The following is a 13,204-nucleotide window of genomic DNA, read 5'->3' as shown; positions in this document are numbered from 1 at the left end:
TGTCTGGGGTCAATACCCGGGGTTCGTCGTCTCGCACCAACAAGGTTAAGGACACGATACACACGAAGAGTGGGTTTAGGAGCGGAGGTTTAACACGCAAAAGAAAAAGGAGAACAGCTCTCTCCCTTGTGAGAGAGAGCGGCTTCCGAAAGGAAAATCCCAGGTTCGATCGTTTCTTATAATGGCTCACAGAACTCAGAAACTTTACTTATGTTTACTGCTTTATTATAAAGGATACAGATGAACAGGCAGTCGAAGAGGTACACAGGGCAACGTCCAGAAGGGTCCCAGGTGAGCACAGGACCTTTTGTCTTCATGCAGTTTGAGGTGCATCGCCTTCTTGGTATGTGGTTGGGGTTAACCAAACCGAAAGCTCTCCAAACCTGTGGTTTATTTTTTAATGGAGGTGCCATCACTTAGGCATGATTGGCTAAATCACTGGCAATTGGTGGTTAATCAATCGCCAGCCCTTTTACCCTCTCTGGAGGTCGAGGCGTGGGGCTGCAAATCCCAGACCTCTAATCATGCCTTAGTCTTTCAGGGGATAGCCCCCATCCTGAAGTTGTCTAAAGGATCCCAGCCACCAGTTAGCTCACTGTCATACACTCTTATCACTTGGAGATTCCAAAGGTCTTAGAAGCTCTTGTGTCAGGAACCAAGACCAAGTATTCTAATAAAAGATGTTTCTATCACCCCTGTCACTCAGGAAATTACAAGGGTTTCTGGAGATCTGTGCCAGGAACTGGATGAAGATCAAATATATATATTTATTATATCACAATATTGCAGCCTACTACTTGCCAGGCACAATTCTAAGCACTTTACATGTGTCCACTTAATTCCTTTAACAGTCCAAAATCAGCTATTGCTATATCATCTCCATATTACAGATAAGGAAACTCAAGCACATAGGGGTTAAGGTTAACCAGTGATCTGGCTAGTCTGTACTTTTACCTGATGTTGTGCTGCCATACAGACTAGATTTTTTTTTTTTTTTTTTAGACTGAGTCTTGCTCTGTTGCCAGGCTGGAGTGCAATGGCGTGATCTCAGCTCACTGCAAACCCCGCCTCCCGGGTTCAAGTGATTCTCCTTCCTCAGCCTCCCCAGCAGCTGGGACTACAGGCACATGCCACCTCGCCCAGCTAATTTTTGTATTTTCAGTAGAGACAGGGTTTCACCATGTTGACCAGGATGGTCTCGATCTCTTGACCTCGTGATCCGCCCACTTCGGCCTCACCAAATGCTGGGATTACAGGCGTGAACCACAGCACCCAGCCAAGACTAGATTTTTAAGAAAAGGCAATCCAGATGTCCTAGAAGGTTCATTTCCTCTTTTTGGTGGTTTAGCAAATTTCTTAGTAAGGCTTCTAGCTGTTATAGCAGCATTAGTATGTGAACCACAGTTAAGCTCTAGTCCAACAAGGCCATTTCTTCAGCAGAGAAGCAATTGTTAAATAATCGACCAAGTATTCATTGGCTCCCTCTTTTTGTATCAACATACACAATTGTTACAGTGCCAGTGTTTATTGGAACCACTTTCCATGGTGCATCCAGCTGTGCCTAGACCAGCAGGTCTTTTTCCAGAAGTCCAGATGGCAGGGGAACCTCTTCACGTTGTTGACCCTTCTCCCTGTAATTTTTTCCCCAATAAACCTTTTCATTATGTTGCTGTATTTATACCCAAATACACATTACATTTATTTTAGTACCTTGTACATTTTGTTGCCCTTATAAATTGGAGGGGTTTTAAAAACTATTTTTTATTCTCAATATTCATTGATGATGTATAGGACTCCTTCTGGACTGTTTAATATATGACTGTAAATCCCCCTGAATTTTCTTAGATGTTTGTAGTATCTGATTATGACAGTTTTGTCTTTTATTTATTGCCTTGTTGCATTGATTAGGTCCTCTAATATAATGTTGCTTAATAATGAAGATAGATATCCTATCTTATTCTTGACTTTTGGTATAAATTCTTCTAAAGTTTGAGCATTAAACATGATGTTTGTTGTAGATTCTTAGTGGATACTCTTTAGCAGTTAAAGTAACTTCTCTTTTACTTCCAGTGACACTACTACCTAATTTGAAGAGAGGATTTGGAATTTTGAGTTTCAAAATAATACTGTTTTCAAACACTTTTTTAGCTAAAAAGTACACACACATAGGGCAGTGTTTTAAAGTTTAGCTACTTCAGGGCATATGTGTATACTCACTGAAGTTTTAATTTAATGGCTTATTGGTCATTCATGTATCTTCTTTGGTAAGGTAATTAAATTTTTTTCTTTTTTTTTAAAAGACAGAGTCTCGCTCTGTCGCCCAGGCTGGAGTGCAGTGGCACAATCTCAGCTCACTGCAACCTCCGCCTCCTGGGTTCAAGCGATTCCCCTGCCTCAGCCTCCCGAGTAGCTGGGATTACAGGCGCCCACCACCACGCCCAGCTAATTTTTGTATTTTTAGTAGAGACAGGGTTTCACCATGTTAGCCAGGCTGGTCTCGAACCCCTGACCTCGTGATCCACCCACCTCGGCCTCCCAAAGTGCTGAGATTACAGGTGTGAGCCACTGCACCTGGCCGTAATTAAATTCTTGACCCATTTAAAAAGTGCGTGTTTTCCTTTTTATTACTAAATTATAAGGATTCTTTATATATTTTGCATACTAGTCCTTTGTTAGATATTTACATTGCACATATATTCTCTCAGTCTGTTAACCATCTTTTCATTTTCTTAATGGTGTCTTTCAAAAAGAAGTTTTTAATTTTGATGAAGTCCAATTTTAATTTTTGTTATGATTGATAGTTTTTGTGTCCTAAGAAATCACTATCTACTCTAAAGTTGTGAAGATATTCTAAAAGTTAACATTTGTATTGTACAATATCAACTGTTAGTTGAGGATATGGAGCAACTGGAAGCTCATACATTAGTTGTGGGAATGTAAAATGGTATTAATACAATGTCTTTGGAAAAACAGTTCACTGGTGTCATGGAAAGCTAAGTATACTCTTGCCATACAATCTAGCAATTCCATTCCTACATATTTACCCAAGAAAAATGAAAACACATGAACACACAAAGATTTATACAATAATGTTCATAGCAACTTTATTCATAATAATAACCAAAAAATCAGAAACAACCCAATGTCCATTGGGGATAAACACATGGATAAACAACGTATCCATAAATGAAGTACAGGTGGTAAAAAGAAGCAAAGTATTGATATATGCAACAAATGAATAAGCTCAAAAACATTATGCTAAGCAAAAGAAGCCATACATATCATTTAATTTTTAAAAATTGTATATAACAGACAAATCTCATCTACAGTGACAGAAAACAGATCAATGTCACCGGCCGCTGGAACTCCTAGGGAGTACTCACTGCAAAGGAGCCCTTCTGGAGTGATGAAGATGTTCTCTCTCGATTGTGGTGGTCGTGGCATGGGTACAGAACACTTGTCAAAAGGCATGGAATTACTCAAGATGGGAGCATTTTTACTGTATGTTAATTATAACTCAATAAAATTGATTTTTTAAAATTCTAAGTACATATATAAATACATTAATGTTTACAGAGCATTAAGAGAAGTGAAAAAGGTCGGGCGCAGTGGCTCACGCCTGTAATCCCAGCACTTTGGGAGGCCGAGGCGGGCGGATCACGAGGTCAGGAGATCGAGACCATCCTGGCTAACACGGTGAAACCCCGTCTCTACTAAAAATACAAAAAAACAATTAGCCGGGCGTGGTGGCGGGCACCTGTAGTCCCAGCTACTTGGGAGGCTGAGGCAGGAGAATGGTGTGAACCCGGGAGGCAGAAATTGCAGTGTGAGCCGAGATCGCGCCACTGCACTCCAGCCTGGGTGACAGAGCGAGACTCTGTCTCAAAAAAAAAAAAAAACAAAACAAAAGAGAGAAGTGAAAAAATAATTCCATGTTTGAGATTTGTTTTTTTTGTTTGTTTGTTTTCAGACGGAGTCTTGCTCTGTCACCCAGGCTGGAGTGCAGTGGCGCGATCTCGGCTCACTGAAATTTCTGCCTCCCGGGTTCACGCCATTCTCCTGCCTCAGCCTCCCGAGTAGCTGGGACTACAGGCGCCCGCCACCACGCCCGGCTAATTTTTTGTATTTTTAGTAGAGACGGGGTTTCACCGTGTTAGCCAGGATGGTCTCGATCTCCTGACCTCGTGATCCGCCCGCCTCGGCCTCCCAAAGTGCTGGGATTACAGGCGTGAGCCACCGCGCCCGGCCGAGATTTGTTTGTTTATAAAGTTACCTGAATTTGTTTTTTAAGTTTAGTAGAATTCTTTTATCAGGACCTGTTTTTAAGTTACCTATGTACCTCTCTAAATGGGATTACAGGCAGTAGCTCTCACACTTCAACATTTATGGTAACCACCTGGAGGATTTGTTAAAGCGGACTGCTAGACCCATCCTCAGAGTTTCTGATTCAACAGGCCTGTGATGGGGCTCAAGAATTTGCTTTTTTTTTTTTTTTTGAGATGGAGTCTCATTCTGTTGCCCAGGCTGCAGTGCAGTGGTGCGATCTTGGCTCACAGCAACCTCCGCCTCCTGGATTCAAGTGATTCTCCTGCCTCATCCTCCTGAGTAGCTGGGATTACAGATGCCCTTCACCACGGCCGGCTAATTTTTGTATTTTTAGTAGAGACAGGGTTTCACCATGTTGGTCAAGCTGGTCTCGAACTCGTGACCTCGTGATCTACCCACCTCAGCCTCCCAAAGTGCTGGGATTACAGGCATGAGGCACCGCGCCTGGCCAAGAATTTGCATTTCTAATGACTTCTTGGGTGATGCTAATGCTACTTACTGGTCCAAACACTACATTTAGAGTCACTGACTGTAGAGATCCTTAAAAGATCCCTATTCCTCCAAAGAGTCAATTCTTAATGCTTAAAACTTGAACTAGGCTGGGTACAGTGGCTAACGTCTGTAATCCCAGCACTTTGGAAGGCCTAGGAGAGAGGATCATTTGAGGCCAGGAGTTGACACGAGCCTGGACAGCACAGCAAGAGTCCATCTCTTAAAAAAAAAATTCAGCCAGGCATGGTGGTGCACACCTGTAGTCCTAGCTACTTGAGAAGCTGAATTGGGAGGATCACTTGTGCCCAGGAATTCAAGGCTGCAGTGAGTTGATTGTGCCATTGCACTCCAGCCTGAGAGACAGAGTGATACTGCCTCAAAAAAATAAAAATTTAAATTTAAAACAGAAACACAAAAAACCTAAATTATCCCCTAAGGCTGGCCACGGTGGCTCACACCTGTAATCCCAGCACTTTGGAAGGCCAAGGTGGGTGGATCACTTGAGGTCAGGAGTTCCGAGACCAGCCTGGTCAACATGGTGTGAAACCACGTCACTACTAAAAATACAAAAATCAGCCAGGCATGGTGGCACATGACTGTAGTCCCAGCTACTCGGGAGGCTGAGGCAGGAGAATCACTTGAACCCGGGAGGCAGATGTTGCAGTGATCCAAGATCATGCCACTGCACTCTAGCCTGGTTGACAGAGCAAGACTCTGTCACAAAAACAAAAACAAAAAGTAAATAAATTACCCCCTAGGAGGAGTATATCCCAGGAAAGTGTAACACCTGAAACTTAAAAGATTATCTGCCCTGATGATAAACGATAGAAAAGAGACAGGCCAGGCCAAAGTTTGTCAACTGGTGGACTGAAGATAAGTTTTATTTAGCCTCTGTGTTTTTCTAAATTAGAGGCTAACATCTCAAACTTGGGAGAATTCACTTTAAAAATCCAGTTTTTACGGCTGGGCATGGTGGCTCACGCTTGTGATTCCAATACTTTGGAAGACTGAGGTGTGCAGATTACTTAAGCTCAGGAGTTCAAGACCAGCCTAGGCAACATAGGAAGACACTGTCTCTACAAAAAAAAACTTTTTAAAAATTAGCCAGGCACAATGGCACACACCTGTGGTCCCAGCTACTAGGGAGTCTGAAGTGGGACCATCACTTGAGTCTGGAAGGTCGAGACTGCAGTGAGCCATGATTGCACCAATGCACTCCAGCCTGGGGAACAGAGCAAGGCTTTGTCTCAAAAAAAAAAAAAAAAAAAAAAAAAAAAAAAAAAATCCAGATTTAGTTTCTCTTTAAGTATCATTCCCAGAAGAAAAAAATAGGCTGGGGCCAAATAATGGTTACCTCACTTTATTTTTACATTTTTTTGAATTAAGTAACAAAATTTAAAAAATACAAAAGGATGTACAGTGAAAAGTACATCTCCCTTCTATCCCTGATCCCCAGACTCTCAGAGGCTGCCTCCTTTAGATGGGGCGGGTGCTTTCCAGATGTCCCCACTCTGCATCAACTGGCCCTCTTTCACTTATCTGCATTGTCTGCCTGACCCCTTTAGACATCTGAGCTGCCTCCCAACCCATTTTACCACGCCTCTCCTGCATCCCCTTAACACTTGGCATGTCTGTCGTTAGCACTTTCACACAAGCTTCTTTACAAGGCTGTGTCTTTTTAGATGGGGAGATTCACAGATGCATGAGGTTAGGTTTACATCTTCTTTTGACTATCTACATCCCTGATAACTAGGATGGTGTCAGACTTATGGCAGATGTACAAGTTTGTTGAGTGAATTAATAAATTAATGAATGGGCAAATTGTGTATTGTTTCCAGGGTCCTGAGGTGTGACGCAAATAGCAATTCAGTCAGGTGAAATCAATAATTTAGATCCCATCAGGATCCCAGCCGAGTCCCCAGTCCATCTTGTAACACTTCTCCCCAGAACATACTTAAATTACCTGGAAATAATGAATCCTCTGCCCTTACAGAACTGGATCCAAAGCAGGCACTAGGGCACTCTAAGACTACTTCTCAGAAGTGTGACAACCTCCTGTACCCTTTTTCTCCTTACTACAGGGCCCAAGGACTGAAACTTCTTACCTTTTCTCCTAAACTCTGCCACCCACTAATGGCCTCAGGACTGGGATTCCACTAACCCACTCCCCAAGGGCTGATTGCACCCTTTCTTTGTCACCACTCATGAAATCATTTCATGCTATGAATTGGCCAACCGTTCTAGAGATATAGCTGAACACAAACATGACCAGAAACATGAGGAAGTTATAAAGTATTGAGAAATCCTTCTAGAAGTAGATGCAATGCCACACCACTGAGCACGAGATCTGGCTTCCTGAGCAGTTACCAAAGGACGAGATGACACAGCCCTGTGGGCAAACTAGGATCAACGGGAAATGGAAGAACTTAGGAAACTAAGTTACTTCTCCTTCCTCCCTTCAATGGACTGCTCAGAGGGGCAGTTTCTCCTTATAAACCTTCTGGAGAAGCCCCACACTCTAAGTGAACACACTTGCTGGAAGGCTCCTGTATCTCGTCACAGCTTGTCATGAAGCCTGGTCACTGCAGTAACACAATGCATCACGTTTTTCCTTGCTTTGCTTTCCCTTTTCTTCCACACTCTCACCCCCCTAGATCTGTCCCTCCCTAATAAAGTAACAATACTTTCATCTTTGCCTCAGGTTCTACTTCCTAGGGGACCTAAGTTAAGAAATTCTTGTTGTTGACCAGGCGTGGTGGCTCACGCCTGTAATCCCAGCACTTTGGGAGGCCAAGGCAGATGGATCATGAGGTCAGGAGATCGAGACCATCCTGGCTAACACAGTGAAACCCCGTCTCCAGTAAAAATACAAAAAATTAGCCAGGCGTGGTGGCAGGCACCTGCAGTCCCAGCTACTCGGGAGGCTGAGGCAGGAGAATGGCATGAACCCGGGAGGTGGAGCTTGCAGTGAGCTGAGATCGCGCCACTGCACTCCAGCCTGGGCGACAGAGCGAGACTCTGTCTCAAAAAAAAAAAAAAAAATTCTTCTTGTTGTAATTTATTGTTGTTGCAATTTTTGTTTGTTGTAATTTCTAGGGTAACCACTGAAAGAATAAAAACAAAGTATACAATTTTCAAACTAGTGACGAAAAACATAGAATGGTAGAAAGTAAGTAATCAAAAAGAAGGCAAGAAGGAAAAGATCGTATCAAATATGTAGTTAAAAAAATTTAAAAAAACGAAAGATGGAATTGTTGGAACCAATAACACAAAGATAATAGACTTAAACCCAAATATATCAGTGGTAATCTTTTAATAAATATTTATATTTATTAGATATATTTATATATTTTAATATATAATATATTAAAATATATATTATATATAAATATATATAAATATATAAATATAAATATAAATAATATATTTATAAATATAATATTTATAATAAATAAAATATATCAGTGGTAATCTTTTAATAAGTAAATATATTTATTAAATATAAAAGGTACACAGTAAATATAAATGAACTAAATGCTTTAGTTAAAAGACAATAAAAATTATGAAATAAAAATGTATACACTTGAAAGTATTTAAAATAAATCTAATTTTCATAATGAATTTTAAGCATTAAGGAGTTTTGTAACTGAATAGTGGAACTCAGAAAGACATCCTATTCAGAAGGATCTCTCATGATAATAGTTTCCTTCACTATTGTAGTATACTGTAGAGTTTCAAGAAAAAAATTAAAGGCCAAAACTGTCTTACATTACCATTGCTGTTTCTGCAATCTTCAACAAACCAAAATTTTCTCTGTAATTGTGAAAAAAGAACTCCTCCTTAAGCATAACTAAAATTTTGCCTTAACCTTATCAAATACCCAAAACTGTAGAAAGAGATAAAGCTGTTAATAGAGACATGGGTATCCCTTTTTATCAGGTCAGGAGGGTAAGTCTCTAATAGAGAGTTCTAGTAACTTCTCAAAAGGTAACTAATGAAGGCCTTCCTTCTAAACCAGATAGGGGGAGATAGAATGCTCTGAGTATTAAAGGCATCTCCTGCAAGCCACTGATACCTTTGTTGACAGAGCACACAGAAGAAAATAGCAGTTACCAGGTTACCTATAGGTGAAATTTGTTTCCACATAAAGAACCACTGGGTCCAGGCTCATGGAGTATGACTCCTGAGAGAAACTCCCGTTACTCTGATCAGTGTGTGTGTGTGTGTGTGTGTGTGTGTGTATTAAAAATGAATATTCCTGGGCTCCCAATAAACTCTCCAGGGTGGGATTACGTTGTCTTTACTGATAATGTTCTTAACTAAAAATTCTTAGTTATAAAATCACAAATTTCGGCCGGGCACGGTGGCGGAGGTGGGTGGATGACCTGAGGTCAGGAGTTGGAGATCAGCCTGATCAACAAGGTGAAACCCCGTCTCTACCAAAAATGCAAAAATTAGCCAGGCGTGGTGGCAGGCGCCTGTAGTCCCAGCTACTCAGGAGGCTGAGACAGGAGAATGGCTTGAGCCTGGGAGGCGGAGGTTGCAGTGAGCCAACAGCAGGCCACTGCACTCCAGCCTGGGCGATGGAGCAAGACTCCATCTCAAAAAAAAAAAAAAAAAATCACAAATTTCATAGTGAAACTCAAGTTAGAGTACCTGAAGTTTATATACATAAAATAGACATACCTTTGCTATGAAAGCCTGATTTACTCTTTTTTTTTTTTTTTTTTCTTGAGACAGAGTCTAGCTCTGTCGCCCAGGCTGGAGTGCAGTGGAGCGATCTCGGTTCACTGCAAGCTCCGCCTCCTGGGTTCACACCATTCTCCTGCCCCAGCCTTCCGAATAGCTGGGACTACAGGCGCCCGCCACCAGGCCCAGCTAATTTTTTGTATGTTTAGTAGAGACGGGGTTTCACCGTGTTAGCCAGGATGGTCTCGATCTCCTGACCTCGTGATCTGCCCGCCTCGGCCTCCCAAAGTGCTAGGATTACAGGCGTGAGCCACCGCGCCCGGCTGAAAGCCTGATTTACTCTTAACTGGATATAACCAGAAAGAGTTCTGCCCACAATGATATATCTGCATTGAATCTAAAACACAGACTTCATCATACATTCTCACCTAAATTTCTCTGATGACCCAGAGTAAGGCAAAAGGTTTAGCATATGAGAGTGAAAGGATTTGAATCTCACTTTCTGTCAAACTTTAGAGCTCTGTTAACCATGGTTAGTATCAACTATGATTTTAGGCAACTTTGCTTATAGTAAAAATAACTCGTTAATTGTTACGTATCTGGATTGGGATGCACTATAAATAAATGGAGTCTTCAAGCTTTAGGCTTTCCTGAGTGTAGTGACTCTTGAAATTGACACATCCCTTGTGGATACCTGGAAGCTGTGTTTATGGAATTGTTAAGAGATATTGGTTCCTTGATGCCTGTGGAGGATCTTATCTCCTTGCACCCAAATTGTACTAGTGGACTGCTACAAGGACTTCCACTGCTAATGAGGACTGCTTGATGCTGTGCTGGCAGGCTGTTGTTTCTGTTTAATATCCTTCTGAGTAAGCGGGTACCAAGTATGGCCATGGCAGTCTTGTGAGTTTGAATGTTTAATGTAAAGTGACTTCTGTTGGTCATAGCCACAAATAATTTCAGATGTACTAACTTGATAAACATATTCCAGATGTTTGGTTAAACCTAAAAAGACCTCTCTGGTGGATGTAGCAGTACATCATTTCATATGTATTAATTTCATAACTTTTTTTTTTTTTGAGAGGGAGTCTCACTCTAGGGTGGAGTGCAGTGGCACAATCTCGGCTCCCTGCAACCTCCGCCTCCTGGGTTCAAGCGATTCTCCTGCCTCAGCCTCCCAAGTAGCTGGGACTCCAGGCGTGAACCACCATGCCCGGCTAATTATTTTTTGTATTTTTAGTAGTGACGGGGTTTCACCATGTTGGCCAGGCTGGTCTCGAACTCCTGACCTCAAGTGATCTGCCCACCTCAGCCTCCCAAAGTGTTGGGATTACAGGTGTGAGCCACAGCGCCCAGCCTAATTTCATAAGTATTGATAAATTTTCATCTTACACTGAATTTACATTCAGACTTAACTTTCTTCTTACACTAAATTAATGAATTAACATAAATCATAAAGATTCTATATTTAATTATAAAAACATAAAATTATCACATCAATTTAATTCTTATAAGTTTATACATACTGCATAATGACTTTGAAAACAGTATAACTCAAAATAATAGAAAACAAAATTAATTGAATGAAGTACTACTGAATTTCAGGTATTTCTGTGACAACACAAATTTAAAATTTAATAAAATATTACCTTTTCTTAGCAAAAAGTTTCTTAAGTCAGATTATCCTTTCATGTTTTAAATGAAGCTTCTTCTAAAGAAGTCCTTTTATTCACAGTTGCAAATTTCTTTTTAACACATACAATGTATACTACATGCTGGAATCAAACACCTGAAGGAGCTGGAATCTTATGAATACAGCCAGGGCAACAGTGTAGAGAATCATGAACAAAAACATCACAGTCCACACAGAAAACATTTTGGCACACAGCACAAACATAAACCTGTAGTGAAAAGAAGAAAAGTGATAAACTAGTTTCCAAAAGTTAATTACAGCACAGCTAGATGACATTCAAGGTGTGCTTTGCTCTTTTATATCTCTACCAATTTTTTCCCACTACCTACTTTATTACTTCCAATGTACTCTATATTCTCAAATCTAAGGCAATTAATTTTTTCCCCAAAACTATCCCTTAGAAATGAGGGAATGGTTTTGTTTTTGAGTCTTTAAAGTCTATTCTATTACAGTTCGCTCTCAATTATTTCATTCTAAGGTTTAGGAAAGACATATGAGCTTCAAACCAGCGCTACTTTTGAATGCTTAGCAAGACCACCTGATTGATTCAATTAAAAAGAGAAGCATAAAAATTTAACATCGATTTAATTATTCTTAGGGAATGACCTCACAATTGCAAACATATTTCCCTTTCAAGTAAACCTTTAAAAAAATATGTCAAATGACACAGATAAGACAAGCAGAAAGGAAAAAACTACATTTGTTCTTTCAGCATTACATATATGAGTACTTGCTCCTTGGGATAGAATTTCCAGGGCAGCTTCATACACAGATTCAAAAATCACTAAATCTCAGAAGTATTTGGCTTTGAATAAAAAAAAAAAGAAAGAATGAATAAATAAATTTCAAACAACACAGACAATGACCTATTCTTAAAAACTCAAATGAGGCCGGGTGTAGTGACTCACGCCTGTAATCCCAGCACTTTGGGAGGCCAAGGCGGGTGGATTGCTTGAGCCCAGGAGTTCAAGACCAGCTGGTCAACATGGTGAAACCCAGTCTCTACTAAAAATACAAAAATTGGCTGGGCATGGTGGTGCACGCCTATAATCCCAGCTGCTTGGGAGGCTAGGCATGAGAATCACTTGAACTTGGGAGGCAGAGGTTGCAGTGAGCCAAGATTGCATCACTGCACTACAACCTGGGTGACAGAGCAAGAGTCTGTCTCAGAAAATAAAACCAAAAAACTGTCAAATGATTCAAAAAGTGGTTCCAGTTAAGAGTAAACTACTGATGTCAAAGAGGTATATAAAATTTAATAAAATTACTTTATAAATTGTGACAGTGGAAGAGCAATACTTCTAATTATTATTTTATATAATATATATAGTTTTAAATATGAACATGTAACTAAATTAAAAATTAAAGCTAGACAGTGATCCATATTATTTACATCTATACAAATTTATTTATTAAAGTTGGCCCTCTTCAAAATTTAAAAAAGTATTTTCTCATTGGCATAATGGAAGAATCACCTATTATCTGTGGCCACCTTAAACAATTTCAATGTGTTATCACACAGCTTAAAGTATAATATGAAGAAAATATTTTAAATACTTTCAGACTAAATGCAGTTTAGCTTGAAAGCTAAAGACAAATTACATGTTTTACAAGGGTGTACCAAAGTAGACAAAACAATCAAAGAATTTAAAAAAAGAGGAAAAAAATTAAAAAATTTTTAATAAAAAGTTTTAAAAAGATGAATTACAAAATACTTTATAGCAAAAATTAGAATGCAGAATAACAAAACTACTATTTAAACTATTTTGTTCCTATTTTACCTTCACCTATTGTCATTATCTTTACAAGAAATAAACTGATATGAGCCTGGTCTTTAACAACCTGTTGAAAACTTATAGTACCATTGATTTCAATATTTCTTGTACATTACTTAATATTTAGAAAGCCAAAGAACTTACATGTTGGTCTTTCAATTCCCCCTGACATCCATAACAAAATCTGAAAAAAAAGTTTAACAATGTTTTTTCTTAGAATTTACTCATT

The 13,204-nt window shown here is 39.8% G+C and overlaps 1 pseudogene across 1 annotated transcript in view; it reads right to left on the bottom strand.

Moving 5' to 3' along the window:
* Positions 1–8,279: 8,279 nt before the first annotated feature.
* The window catches only part of GTF2H2B (general transcription factor IIH subunit 2B (pseudogene)), a 34,993-nt pseudogene continuing 30,068 nt past the window's right edge, over positions 8,280–13,204 (bottom strand). The window contains exons 14-15 of the transcript NR_033417.1: positions 13,120–13,159; positions 8,280–11,408 (exon numbers count right to left, since the gene is read on the bottom strand). The product of NR_033417.1 is annotated as a general transcription factor IIH subunit 2B (pseudogene) (transcript). The remainder of the gene's footprint in view (positions 11,409–13,119; positions 13,160–13,204) is intronic.

This window comes from Homo sapiens, chromosome 5 (assembly GCF_000001405.40).
Source record: "Homo sapiens chromosome 5, GRCh38.p14 Primary Assembly".
NCBI lineage: Eukaryota > Metazoa > Chordata > Mammalia > Primates > Hominidae > Homo > Homo sapiens.
Note: the sequence above shows the minus strand (reverse complement) of the source record. Positions and strands in the feature narration are given on the sequence as shown.